General features: G+C 43.1%; 1 protein-coding gene across 6 annotated transcripts in view, besides 1 other annotated feature; it reads left to right on the top strand.

Moving 5' to 3' along the window:
- Positions 1–13,421, top strand: part of SETD2 (SET domain containing 2, histone lysine methyltransferase) — a 148,405-nt gene that overhangs the window by 15,408 nt on the left and 119,576 nt on the right. The gene's annotated exons all lie outside the window — the stretch shown is intronic.
- Positions 7,060–7,159: a silencer, noted in NCBI's record as "silent region_14304". NCBI's record gives its function as "represses an Ori minimal core promoter by ATAC-STARR-seq in GM12878 lymphoblastoid cells {active_cell/tissue: GM12878}" and the evidence as "EXISTENCE:reporter gene assay evidence [ECO:0000049][PMID:35858748]".

Raw genomic sequence — 13,421 nt, 5'->3', positions numbered from 1 at the left:
TAATAATTCCTCATTTCTGTGGCTCCCAACTTTTTTTTTTTCCCCTTTAGCTTGCTCATTGTGACTTGCCATGAGTGTGATTTTAAAAGGGCAAGGGGAGCTAGTGCCTCTAATTTTATAAAGGGAAGAAAAGGAAGTCCAAAGACATACAGGTTGTGCTCACTAGCTAGTTTAGTGGCATATCAGAACTTGGGTAATATTCATTTACCAGTTTGTCCAAAACTGACTTTTTAATGATGTTAAGGAATAACATTTAGAATAGCTGCCATTCATAAACAACTGGATTTCTGTATTGAGTTACTTGTTTTCCTAAAGGTCTTCAGAATTGACCTTGATGTACTTATAATTGTTCAATTTGGAGGGTGCAGGTGATTCTGTATTTGAATTGGTTCTTTCCTCTGACTTTGCAAATGTATATGCTGGAGGATTATGGGTATGAATATCATTCAGCAAAAGGTAAACTGGATATGGGGATCATTCAGATCTGCCCGTTTTTCTGTCCAGGTGCCTTAAGTAGTCTGAAATCTTTACTGGAAATGAGCTTAATCCCGTATGAAACTCAAGCCTTCATTCACCATTATTCCATGTAGTGATCCTCCCGCCTCAGCCTCCCAAAGTGCTGGGATTACAGGCGTGAGCCACCGTGCCTGGCCTATGGCCACTTTTAAAAAAGAAACTTGTATGTAAGTCGATTGGATGTCTATAAAGTTTTTCCTACTGGAAAATGGGGTTTTTATTATTCTAACCTCAGTTCTAAGTCAAACATCATTAATTTAAGACCCTAATTAATGATTGTCTGATTCAGAAATGTGCATTTATTTGAAGTTCATTTAAAAACCAGTGCTCATTTTAGAATAGTATAGAGGTAGAAAGAAGGTATAAAAAATTGGAGAATACTTGAACACAGATTGTACTTTGAAATTTCCCTGTTTTTGTATTTTTTGTCTTCATTAAAAGAAAGTTTGAGGGGAGTAACATTGTTCTGTTTCAATAAAGTTTCAGGGCCAGGCACAGTGGCTCATGTCTGTAATCCGAGCACTTTGGGAGGCTGAGGTGGGCGGATCCCCTGAGGTCAGGAGTTTGGGACCAGCCTGGGCAACATGGCAAAACCCTGTCTCTACTAAAAATACAAAAATTAGCCCGGCGTGGCAGTGGGTGCCTGTAATCCCAACTACTTGGGAGGCTGAGGCAGGAGAATTGTTTGAACCCAGGAGGCAGAGGTTGCAGTGAGCTGAGATCGCGCCACTGCAATCCAGCCTGGGTGACAGAACGAGACGCTTTATCAAAAACAACAACAACAACAACAACAACAACAACAACAAAACACAACCAAAAAAACAAGTTTCAGTTGGTTATGTTATAGTTGAAGCCTAGGTTTACTAAAATATATTTTTAGCCCACCAATGAGTATAATACTTTAATTTTGTAAGAGGGTTCTAAGCATACCTTTATGAACAAGAGTGCAGAAAGTATAGGAGCTGAAAGAAAATATCTTTTTTTTTTTTTTTTTTTTTTGAGACAGAGTCTTGCTCTGTCGCCCAGGCTGGCGTGCAGTGGTGTTTGCTCACTGCAAGCTCCGCCTCCCGGGTTCATGCCATTCTCCTGCTTCAGCCTCCCAAGTAGCTGGGACTACAGGCGCCCACCACCTTGCCCGGCTAATTTTTTTTGTATTTTTAGTAGAGACAGGGTTTCACTGTGTTAGCCAGGATGGTCTCGATCTCCTGACCGTAATCTGCCCGCCTTGGCCTCCCAAAGTGCTGGGATTACAGGAGTGAGCCACCGCGCCCGGCCTAGAAACTATCTTAAAAAATGACATGCTGGCTGGGCACAGTGGCTCACACCTGTAATCCCAGCACTTTGGGAGGCTGAGGCAGGTGGATCACCTGACATCAGGAGTTCCAGACCAGCCTGGTGAAACCCTGTCTCTACTAAAAATACAACAATTAGCTGGGCGTGGTGGTGCATGCCTGTAGTCCCAGCTAGTCGGGCGGCTGAGGCAGGAGAATCGTTCGAACCGAGGAGGCAGAGGTTGTAGTGAGCCAAGATCACGTCACTGCACTCCATCCTGGGCGACAGGGTGAGACTATGTCTCAAAAAAAAAAAAAAAAATGACATGCAGTGGCTAGGCTTGGTGGCTCACGCCTGTAATCCCAGCACTTTGGGAGGCTGAGGAGGGCAGATCACCTGAGGTCAGGAATTCGAGACCAGCCTGGCCAACATGGTGAAACCCTGTCTCTACTAAAAATACAAAAAAAATTAGCGGGTGTGGTGGCGAGTTCCTGTAATCCCAGCTACTTGGGAGGCTGAGGCAGGAGAATTGCTTGAACCTGGGAGGCAGAGGTTGCAGTGAGCTGAGATTGCACCACTGCACTTCAGCCTGGGCAACAGAGTGAGACCCTGTCTCAAACAAACAAAAACAAATATGTTACAGCTCTCATTTATTGAGTATAAACTCTCTGCCAGGCACTATATGAAGGAATTTTTTTTTTTTTTTGAAGACAGGGTCTCACTCTGTCACCTAGAGTGGACTAGTAATGCAAACCTGGCTCACTGCAGTTTTGACTTCCTGGACTCTCAAGTGATTCTCCTGTCTCAGCCTCCCAAGCAGCTGGGACCACAGGCAAACGCCAGTATACCTGGATAATTCTAAAATTTTTTTGTAGAGGCAAGATCTCTCCATGTTGCCCGGGCTGGTTTTGAACTCCTGGCTTCAAGCAGTCATCTCGCCTTGGCCTCTTAGAATGCTGGGATTACAGGCATGTGCCATCATGCCTGGCCTATATGAAGGAATTTTTTTTTTTTTTTTTAGACGGAGTCTCACTGTGTCGCCCAGGTTGGAGAGTAGTGGCATGACCTCGGCTTACTGCAACCTCTGCCTCTGGATTCAAGCGATTCTCCTGCCTCAGCCTCCCGAGTAGCTGGTATTAGAGGCGACTACCACTATGACTGGTTAATTTTTGTATTTTTAGTAGAGACGGGGTTTCGCTATGTTGGCCAGGCTGGTCTTGAACTCCTGACCTCAGGTGATCCGCCTGCCTCGGCCTCCCAAAGTGTGGGAATTACAGGCGTGAGCCACCACACCCGGCTATATGAAGGATTTTAAATAGACACTCGTTCTCTTTTTAAAGTAAATATAGTACTATTTCAGTTTTATAGCTAGCTTCTTTGGCCTCCATTTCTTTTAGTAACTTAGGTTAAAAAACTTTGGAGTCAGTATTCAAATTCAGGTTGACTGAATATAAGAGCTTTTGCTCCTAATATATTGTACTGTGGGTGGTACCTCTCCAGCTGACATTTTGAGAGTACAAGATGGGAGATAAGAGCAAGTGGGATATGCTTTCTGGACAGAGGCACTAGAAAGACCATAGCAGACAATTTAGGCTGTATAGCTTTTTTTTTTTTTTTTTTTTTTTTTTTGAGACAGGGTCTCGCTCTGTCACCCAGGCTGAAGTGCAGTGGCACCATCATAGCTCACTGTAGCCTTAGACTCCTGGGCTCAACTGATCCTCCTGCCTCAGCCTCTTGAGTATCTGGGACTATAGATGTAAGCCACTATACCCAGCTAATTTTTTATTTTTTGTAGAGACAGAGCCTCGCTATGTTGTCCAGGCCAGTCTCAAATTCCTGGCCTTAAGCACTCCTCCTGTTGGGGGCCTCCCAAAGTGCTGAGACTACAGGCATGAGCCACCACACCTGTTCAGCTGCATAGTTCCTTTTAGGTTATATAGTTCTTAAACTGTATACAGGCCTCAGCTGAATCCAAAAATGTGAAATCTGAAATGCTCCAAAAGTTAAAACTTTTTTAATGCTGACATGATGCCACAGTGGGAAATTTTACACATGACCTGATGTGAGGGGCTGCAGTCAAAACACAGCCAAGCTGGGCATGGTGGCATGCACCTGTAGTCCCTTCAGGAGCCTGAGGTAGGAGGATCATTTGAGTCCAGGAGTTCAAGGCTGCAGCAAGCTGGGATTGTACTACTGTACTTGCTCCAGCCTGGGCAACAAAGCAAGACCCCGTCTCTTAAAAACAAAAACAAAACACAGGCATACAACACAGTTTATTCCATGTCCCAAAATTATTAAAAAATATTGTATAAAATTACCTTCAGGCCATGTGTATAAGGGGTATATGAAACATAAACAAATTTGGTGTGTAGACTTGGGTCCAAGATATCTGGCCCCAAGATATCTCGTGTATATGCAGATATTCCAGAATCTGAAAAAGTTGGACATACTTACTGTCCCAAGTGTTTTCAGTAAGCGTTACTCAACCTGCAGTTTTTTTCATCATTCTAGTTATGTTTACACATTGTCAGTTTTGATTTTTCAGTGTTCTCACCTCTGTAGATGTAGGCATGAAAACCAGCTGCGTACTTTAACTTTTGGATATAATATTGTCTACTATTTAATTCCAAGCCATATTCTGTTATTTTTAAAATATTTATTTATTGTTTGTTTGTTTGATTGATTGATTGTTTTTGAGACAGAGTCTCACTTGTCGCCCAGGCTGGAGTGCAGTGGTGTGATCTCAGCTCACTGCAGCCTCAGCTTCCCGGGTTCAAGCGATTCTCGTACCTCAGCCTCCCGAGTAGCTGGGATTACGGGTGTGTGCCCATCTAATTTTTGTATTTTTTGTAGACATGGGGTTTTAACCACGTTGGCATGAACTACTGGCCTCAAGTGATCCACCCGCCTCGACCTCCCAAAGTGCTGGGATTACAGGTGTGGGCCACCGTGCCTGGCCTTATTTCTTTTTCTGGACTTACTTATTTTTTATTTTTATATTTTGAGACGGAGTCTCGCTCTGTCACCAGGCTGGAGTGCAGTGGTGCGAACTCGGCTCAGTGCAACCTCTGACTCCCTGGTTCAAGCGATTCTCCTGCCTCAGTTTCCCAAGTGGCTGAGACTGGGACTATAGGCATGCACCACCACGCCTAGCTAATTTTTGTATTTTTAGCAGAGACGGGGTTTCACCATGTTGGCCAGGATGGTCTCGCTCTCTTGACCTCGTGATTCGCCTGCCTCGGTCTCCCAAAGTGCTGGGATTACAGGCATGAGCCACTGCACCCGGCTGGACTTATTTATTTTTATAATTTTTTTTAGAGACAGGGTCTCACAGTGCTGCCCAGGCTGGTCTTGAACTCCTGGGCTCAAGTGATCCTCCTGCCTTGGCCTCCCAAAATGTTGGGATTACAGGTGTGAGTCACTGCACCTGGCTTCTGATATTTTGCCCTGTGTTGTTTCTGTGAGGTATACATTTACTTTGTCAGCTTGGAGTAGTTCTTTGTCATAGAGCATAAGATTTGGCCTCCTCAAGTGAGCTGTTTATAGCACTTAAGTTTTGTCTCTGATTAAGTGGCTAGAAACTTGACAGCTAGAGCTGTGGGACAACTGCATTTTCTTAAGTTCTGGTGTAATGTGGCCGGGCGCAGTGGCTCATGCCTGTAATCCCGGCACTTTGGGAGGCCGAGGCGGGCAGATCACGAGGTCAGGAGATCGGGACCATCCTGGCTAACACGGTGAAACCCCGTCTCTACTAAAAGTACAAAAAATTAGCCGGGTGTGGTGGTGGGTGTCTGTAGTCCCAGCTACTCGGGAGGCTGAGGCAGGAGAATGGCATGAACCCGGGAGGTGGAGGTTGCAGTGAGCCGAGATCGCGCCACTGCACTCCAGCCTGGGCGACAGCGAGACTCCGTCTCAAAATAAAAAAAAAAAGTTCTGGTATAATGTAACTTGACATTTGAGATATAAAACCAATGGGATAAAGTTCTGATAAAAGTTTGTTTTATAGATCAACTAGCTTTATTATATGAATATGCAGTTATATACTGTTAGTATTTAATAATGAGCAACTTACAGAAATTAAAAAGATCAGTAGACTAGATAGCAATTCTAATCTGCAAAATGATGTTCAAAAATACTCTTATTTTTCTGTTTACCTTAAGAGCACAAAAGATATTTTTTGCAGGAAATGAAAATTTAGCACTGTAGTGCCTTATCCTAAAAGATTACAGATAGGTGGAAAGTGGATTTAAATATTTGGAATATTAGTGTTTCTCTCCTTGAACACAGCAGAATTTTATGTCTACTTTTGTTAAGGTTTTTTCCCCAATAAAGTTTTTTTGTTTTGTTTTTTGAGACGGGGTCTTGCTCTGTTGCTCACGGTGGAATGCAGTGGTGAGATCGTAGCTCACTGCATCCTTGACGTCCTGGGCTCAAGCAGTGGTCCTGCCTCATCCTGCTGAGTACCTGGGACTACAGGCATGCATCACCAACGCCTGGCTAATTTTTAAATTTTTTGTAGAAATGGGCTCTCACTATGTTGCCCAGACTAGTCTTGAGCTCCTTGGGCTCAAGTGATCCTCCAGCATCAGCCTCCCAAAGTGCTGGGATTACAGGTGTGACCCACCATGCCCAGCCCCAACTTTCATTTTTCCATTTTGAAAATAAGAAGCCAATGAGCCAGGCGCAGTGGCTCACGCCTGTAATCCCAGCACTTTGGGAGGCTGAGGTGGGGCAGATCACCTGAGGTCAGGAGTTCAAGACCAGCCTGGCCAACATGGTGAAACCCCATCTCTGCTAAAAATACAAAAAATCAGTTGGGCGTGGTGGCAGGCTCCTGTAATCCCAGCTACTCAGAAGGCTGAGGCAGGAGAATTGCTTGAACCTGGGAGGCGGAGGTTGCAGTGAGCGAGATTGCGCCATTGCACTCCAGCCTGGCCGACAAGGGCAAAACTCCATCTCAAAAAAAAAAAAAAAGACAATGTATATATGGTATTCCCCTTCCCCACCTCCCCCCACCACGAAGTAGCATACTAAATTTACTGTTTTGTTTCTTGCTTTTTTTCCTTAACAGTACATTCCGGAGCAGTATACAGAGATCTTCATTATGACCTTTTATTTTAATTAAATTAATTAATTAACTTAGATTCTTGCTCTGTCACCCAGGCTGGAGTGCAGTGGCACCATGTCATCTCACTGCACCCTTGGCCTCTGGGGCTCAAGCAGTCTTCTCACCTCAGCCTCCTGAGTAGCTGGGACTACAGGCGCACACCATCACACCTGGCTAATTTTGCTTATTTTTTGTAGAGGCGAGGTCTCACTATGTTGCTCAGGATGGTCTCGAACTCCTAGCCTCAAACAACCCTACTGCCTCAGCCTCCCAAAGTGCTGGGATTACAGATGGGGGAGCTACCACGTCCAGCCCATTATTATGATCTTTTAGATCAAAGTTCGTAATTAGAACTTTTTGAAGCTGCATACTACCACATTGAACGGATGTACCAGGGTTATTCAGTCACTGTTACAACCTTTTACTAGCACACAGATAGCCTTTTGCAGTTTATTTTAACCTTTTTCTGTATGAAATGATGGATAGTGGTGCATTCAGTGCATTGTAATTCACAATCATCCTATATTATCATTTGGCTTTGCCTTGTAAGAATATGTGTTTCAAGTGTTTTTTTTAAGGTATGGATAGCTTTTACCCTACTTGTAGTTGTGTTAGTTGACTTGAAACCTTTTCCTTCTATACCTCAGACATTAATTACAATGAAAAAAAAATGCTTAAACTCTTTACCAAAACCAGAAAATAAACAATGGCTATTTTTATTGCATTTAAGCTTTTGTTCCGTAAGAGTACTGAATTGTTTTTTAATGTGTTTTGATTTTGGTCGGGTGGTAACTTATGCTAGAAACTTTTTGAATTGTTGTACTTGGTATGTTTCTAAAATAGAAAGCAGCCCACACATTTTTTTATTTTTTCTTTATAACAAAAGAAAACTTACTTGTGAAACATGAAATAATAAAATTATTTTCAGAAGCATTTTTAGTATTAAGATGAAAGTAAGCAGTTATTTATGATGGAAAGAGATCTGAAATATGTATAAAAAGAGAGACCTTGTCTTTCTCATGTCTTTCCATTTAATCACATCACAGGTTTTATTTCTGTGTTTTTATTTAGAAGGTGGGTTTTTCAGAGCTAATTTGCATGAAAGGCTGTAACTTGAAAGAGCTGTTTTTGTATTCTCATTTAATGTGGTTAAGCAAGAGTAGGACAGGAAGGCTGACATAAGTACTTAGTCTGGTACAATACAAGATAGGTACAGTTTAAACATTAACCAACTGGGTGCAGTGGCTCATGCTTGTAATCCCAGCACTTTGGGAGGCTGAGGCAGGCAGATCGCTTGAGCCCAGGAGTTTGAGACCAGCCTGGGCAACATGGTGAAACCCCATCCCTACTAAAAATTCAAAAATTAGCCAGGCATGGTGGTGTGTGCCTATAATCCTAGCTACTTGGGAGGCTGAGGTGGGAGGATCACTAGAATGGGGCGGGGGTGGGTGGTGTGAGGTTGCAGTGAACCAAGATCATGACACTGCACTCCAGCCTGGGTGAGGGCAGTGAGATCCTGTCTCACAAAAAAACAATATTAACCAAGCGAGCTTAGAGTCTACAGTCTAATTATAATAGTCTAATTATAACAAGCCATCTCCCTCAGAAACCTATCTCATGTCTTTCTTCGTATTCGATACTTAGAATTTTTAATTTTAATTTTAATTTTTTATTTGAGACAGAGTCTCGCTGTGTCACCCAGGCTGGAGTGCAATGGCGCAATCTCAGCTCACTGCAACCTCCACCCCACTGGGATTCAAGTAATTCTTGTGCCTTAGCCTCCCGAGTAGCTGGGATTACAGATGACTGCCACCATGCCTGGCTAATTTTTGTATTTTTAGTAGAGACAGGATTTCACCATGTTGGCCAGGCTGATCTTGAACTCCTGACCTCAAGTGATCCACCCGCCTTGGCCTCCCAAAGTGCTGAGATTACAGGCGTGAGCCACTGCACCTGGCCAGTCAACTCTTTCTGTGTGATTCACTGGCTTGTACTAAAGATGAATTTCAGCATTTATGCATATTTATCTTTTGAGGCTTATTTGGTATTGGAGGTTTTCCTCTCTCACTTTTTGCTAATGAGGAAAACAAATGGATAATTGAAAAGATTAACTCAGAGTAATGAGTAAAATTACTGGAATTCAATTGAATACAATAGTCTTCAACACTGGGCTCTAAAATGTTCAGGTTAGGTCACCCAACGTTCCAACTTATGGGTTTTGGAAAAAGCAGATGGCTTTAACAGGTGAATATCATTCACTTTAGGTAGGTATTCTTGTGTATCTATTTGGCAGACAAGTAGAGAAACATTTCAGGCATAAATACAGTTGTTAACATTTGGGATTATAGTCTTAACCTTTCCTCACTGATTAGAATTCCGTAGTGACACATTTGAGATTAGCTTTTTAACAAAGTCACTTCTTGTTAGAAGTGACTTTTTTAAAGAAAATAAGTTAGCTTTACTCACTTGTGTAGTAATTCCACATTAAAATAAAGTTTCAGCTATTTTTGGGGTGTAAGAATAGTTGGTGAGTATGATCAAGTTATTTTTTTCTAGATTTAGTCGGTATATATTGATCAATAGGATTCTTTGTATGTTTGAGATACTATACCAGTTGAAGATGTGGACTTAAACAAGTGAGAAGGAGTGCTTGTATATCAAGTCTACTCATGCTAGTTCAGGTTAGCATACTTACTCCAAAGTGCTTTACCTGAAATTTCAATGTCTTTGATAAAGCAGTGTATCACTCATAGCTTTATTGACCACATAAATAACGTATATTTTTCATCAGTGTTTTTTTTTAATTCACTTGTCTTCACGTGTCCTTGTTCTTAGATGAGAATGCGGCAAATTTCATAAATTTTATGGCCTATATATCTTGCTTTTTCTACATGTCAGTTTTGAGATGTTTCCCTCTTTTCCTTTAAGAATTGCTTGAAGTGAGGAAGCTAAAAACTAGTACTGTTGTTAAGGAGTTTCTTTGATTCAAAAAGTAACGAGAATGTATGATAGGAACGGGAATGTTAGGCCCAGGGGAGATTATATAATAAGGACAAGATGTTGCCTTTGTCTCTTTGAAATTTAAACTCTATATGGGGAGACAAGAACAATAAATGCAAGTCAAGGCTGTATGTGATTGTCAGATTGTAAAGTATATGCTGTAGGAGTTGAATTTAGTAGTAGTATCTGGAAAGGTAAGAAAAGGATAGGAAAAGGCATAATAGTGCTGAGTACCTACTAGACATTCAGATAATTGTCAAAGGAAGGAAAGGCTTTAGTGGTCCCTGAGTGGATTAAGGTAGATATGGGGGTGATGTGGTATGTGTGTAGTGTGGAGGCTGAGAGGGAGGAAGGTGATGAAACGAGCAATACAAAAAATAATTTGAGAGCTTGGGCAAGATAAGTGAGCCCGTCTCTATAAAAAGTTAAAGAAAATTAGCCAGCTGAGGAGACTTGGGAGGGAGGATTGCTTGAACCCAGGAGTTCGAGGCTGCAATGAGCTATGATCGTGCCATAGCACTCCAGCCTAGACTCTGGGTGACAGTGGGTAACAGAGCAAGACCCTGTCAAAAAAAAGAAAAGAAAGAAAGACGTTGAACAAGACTGATCTAGATTTGAACTTAAAAGAGACCACCATAGCTATTGAGATTCCTTCTGGGGAGTAGTGTAAAAGCAGCTTAACTAGGTAGGAAAATGATAATCCCAGCACTTTGGGAGGCTGAGGTGGGCAGATCACTTGAGACCAGGAATTTGAGACCAGCCTGGCCAACATGGTGAAACCCCGTCTCTACTAAAAATACAAAAATTAGCCAGGCTTGACTGGGCGCGGTGGCTCACGCCTGTAATCCTAGCACTTTGGGAGGCCAAGGTGGGTGAATCACCAGAGTTTGGGAGTTCAAGACCAGCCTGACCAACATGGAGAAACCTCATCTCTACTAAAAATACAAAATTAGCCAGGCTTGATGGTACATGCCTGTAATCCCAGCTAGTTGGGAGGCTGAGGCAGGAGAATCACTTGAACCTGGGAGGTGGAGGTTGTGGTGAGCCGAGATCATGCCATTGCACTTCAGCCTGGGCAACAAGAGTGAAATTTCATCTCAAAATATAATAATAATAATAACACCTGTAATCCCAGCTATACATGGGAGGCTGAGGCAGGAGATTCGCTTGAACCCAGGAGGTGGAGGTTGCAGTGAGCTGAGATCGCGCCACTGTACTCCAGCCTGGGCGACAGAGTGAGACTTGGTTTCAAAAAAAAAGAAAGTGGGCCGGGCGCGGTGGCTCACGCCTGTAATCCCAGCACTTTGGGAGGCTGAGGCGGGCGGATCACGAGGTCAGGAGATCGAGACCATCCTGGCTGACACGGTGAAACCCCGTCTCTACTGAAAATACAAAAAAATTAGCCAGGCGTGGCGGCGGGCGCCTGTAGTCCCAGCTACTCGGGAGGCTGAGGCAGGAGAATGGCGTGAACCCGGGAGGCGGAGCTTGCAGTGAGCCGAGATCGCGCCACTGCACTCCAGCCTGGGCGACAGAGCGAGACTCCGTCTCAAAAAAAAAAGAAAGTGATAATACTGTAATCCCAGTACTTTGGGACACTGAGGCGGGTGGATCACCTGAGGTCAGGAGTTCGAGACCAGCCTGGTCAACTTGGCAAAACCCCATCTCTACTAAAAAAAAAATAAAATTAGCTGGGTGTGGTGGCGGGTGCCTGTAATCTCAGTTACTTGGGAGGATGAGGCAGGAGAATTGCTTGAACCTGGGAGGCAGAGGTTGCAGTGAGCCAAGATCGCACTATTGCACTCCAGCCTGGGCGACAGCAAGATTCTGTCTCAGAAAAAAAGAAAAATTTATAATAATGTCAGATATTTATTGAGTGCTCCATATCTTCTAAGTGGTGTTTTTGGCAGTTAAATGCAGCTGTAAACAAGATAAAACCAAATCTCTGTCCTAAAGAAGCTTGTATGCTAGTGGGAGGAAATGGGCATTACATAAAATATTTATAAATAAAAAATAAACAACCAACTCTTATAGTAATAAATACTAGGAAGGCTGGGCGCGGTGGCTCACACCTACAATCCCAGCACTTTGGGTGGCTGAGGTGGGTGGATCACAAGGTCAAGAGATCGAGACCATCCTGGCCAACATGGTGAAACCCCATCTCTACTAAAAATACAAAAATTAGCTGGGTGTGGTGGTGCTTGCCTGTAGTCTCAGCTACTCGGGAAGCTGAGGCAGGAGAATCGCTTGAACCCAGGAAGTGGAGTTTGCAGTGAGTCGAGATCACGCTACTGCAATCCAGCCTGGCGACAGAGTAAGACCCCATCTCAAAAATAAAAATAAAATAAAATAAAAATAATAATAAATGCTAGGAATAAAATAAGGTACTATAATATAGAATGATGGGAGAATCTCAAAGGAAATAACATTTGAGGTGTCATCTTTTTAAAAAAATTATTTTAGATTCAAAGGGTACATGTGCATGTTTGTTACACGTGTATGTTGCATGTTGGTGGGGATTGGGCTTCTAGTGTGCCCATTACCCAAATAGTAGTGAACATTGTACTCACTAGGTAATCCTTTTTTTTAGATGGATTCTTGCTCTGTTGCCCAGGCTGGAGTGCAGTGGCGTCATCTCGGCACACTGCAACCTCTGCCTCCCGGGTTCAAGTGATTCTTCTGCCTCAGCCTCCCAAGTAGGTGGGATTACAGGCACCCGCTATCATGCCCAGCTAATTTTTGTATTTTTGGTAGAGACGGGGTTTTGACATGTTGGCCAGGCTGGTCTGGAACTCCTGACCTCAGGTGATCCACCTATCTTGGCCTCCCAAAGTGCTGGGATTACAAGCGTGAGCCACGGCACCCAGCCCCCATTAGGTAATTTTTCAACCCACTGCCCTATCTTTTGGAGCCCCAAGTGTTAATTATTTCCTTCTTTATGTCCATGTGTACCCATTGTTTAGCTCCCACTTACAAGTGAGAACATTTAGTATTTGGTCTTTTGTTTCTGAGTTAGTTCACTAAGGATAATGGCCTCCAGCTCCATACATGTTGCTGCAAACAACATGATTTCATTCATTTTTATGGCTGTGTGAGATGTCATTTTATTATCGAGAAGCAGCAGTCTGGTGAAGATCTGGAGGGAATGGTATTCCAAGAAGGAACAAGCAGGTGAAAGGGCTGTGAGCCAGAAATTATCTTGGAATGTATGAGGGACAGAGAGAAGGCTAATGTGGCTAAAACCTAGAGAATGAGGAGGAGGGACTATGGAAAGAGGTAAGGTCAGAAAGAGGATAAGCAGGTATGTGGAGTGGGCTGTGAGTGGAGAGAGAAAAATTAAGGACAAATGAGGTTTGATCTGAGCAATTGGGTAGATGGTAGTATTACTGTCATAGGAACGACTTGGGGGAGGACTGAATTAGGTATATGGGATAATCGTCATCAGTTCAATTTTGACCATGCTATATTTGAGATGTAGGAGGTATCCAAGTAGTACCTATTAGTTGGATGGGTGGGAGGAGCCAACAAA

The sequence above is a fragment of the Homo sapiens genome, chromosome 3 (assembly GCF_000001405.40).
Source record: "Homo sapiens chromosome 3, GRCh38.p14 Primary Assembly".
NCBI classification, from domain to species: domain Eukaryota; kingdom Metazoa; phylum Chordata; class Mammalia; order Primates; family Hominidae; genus Homo; species Homo sapiens.
Note: the sequence above shows the minus strand (reverse complement) of the source record. Positions and strands in the feature narration are given on the sequence as shown.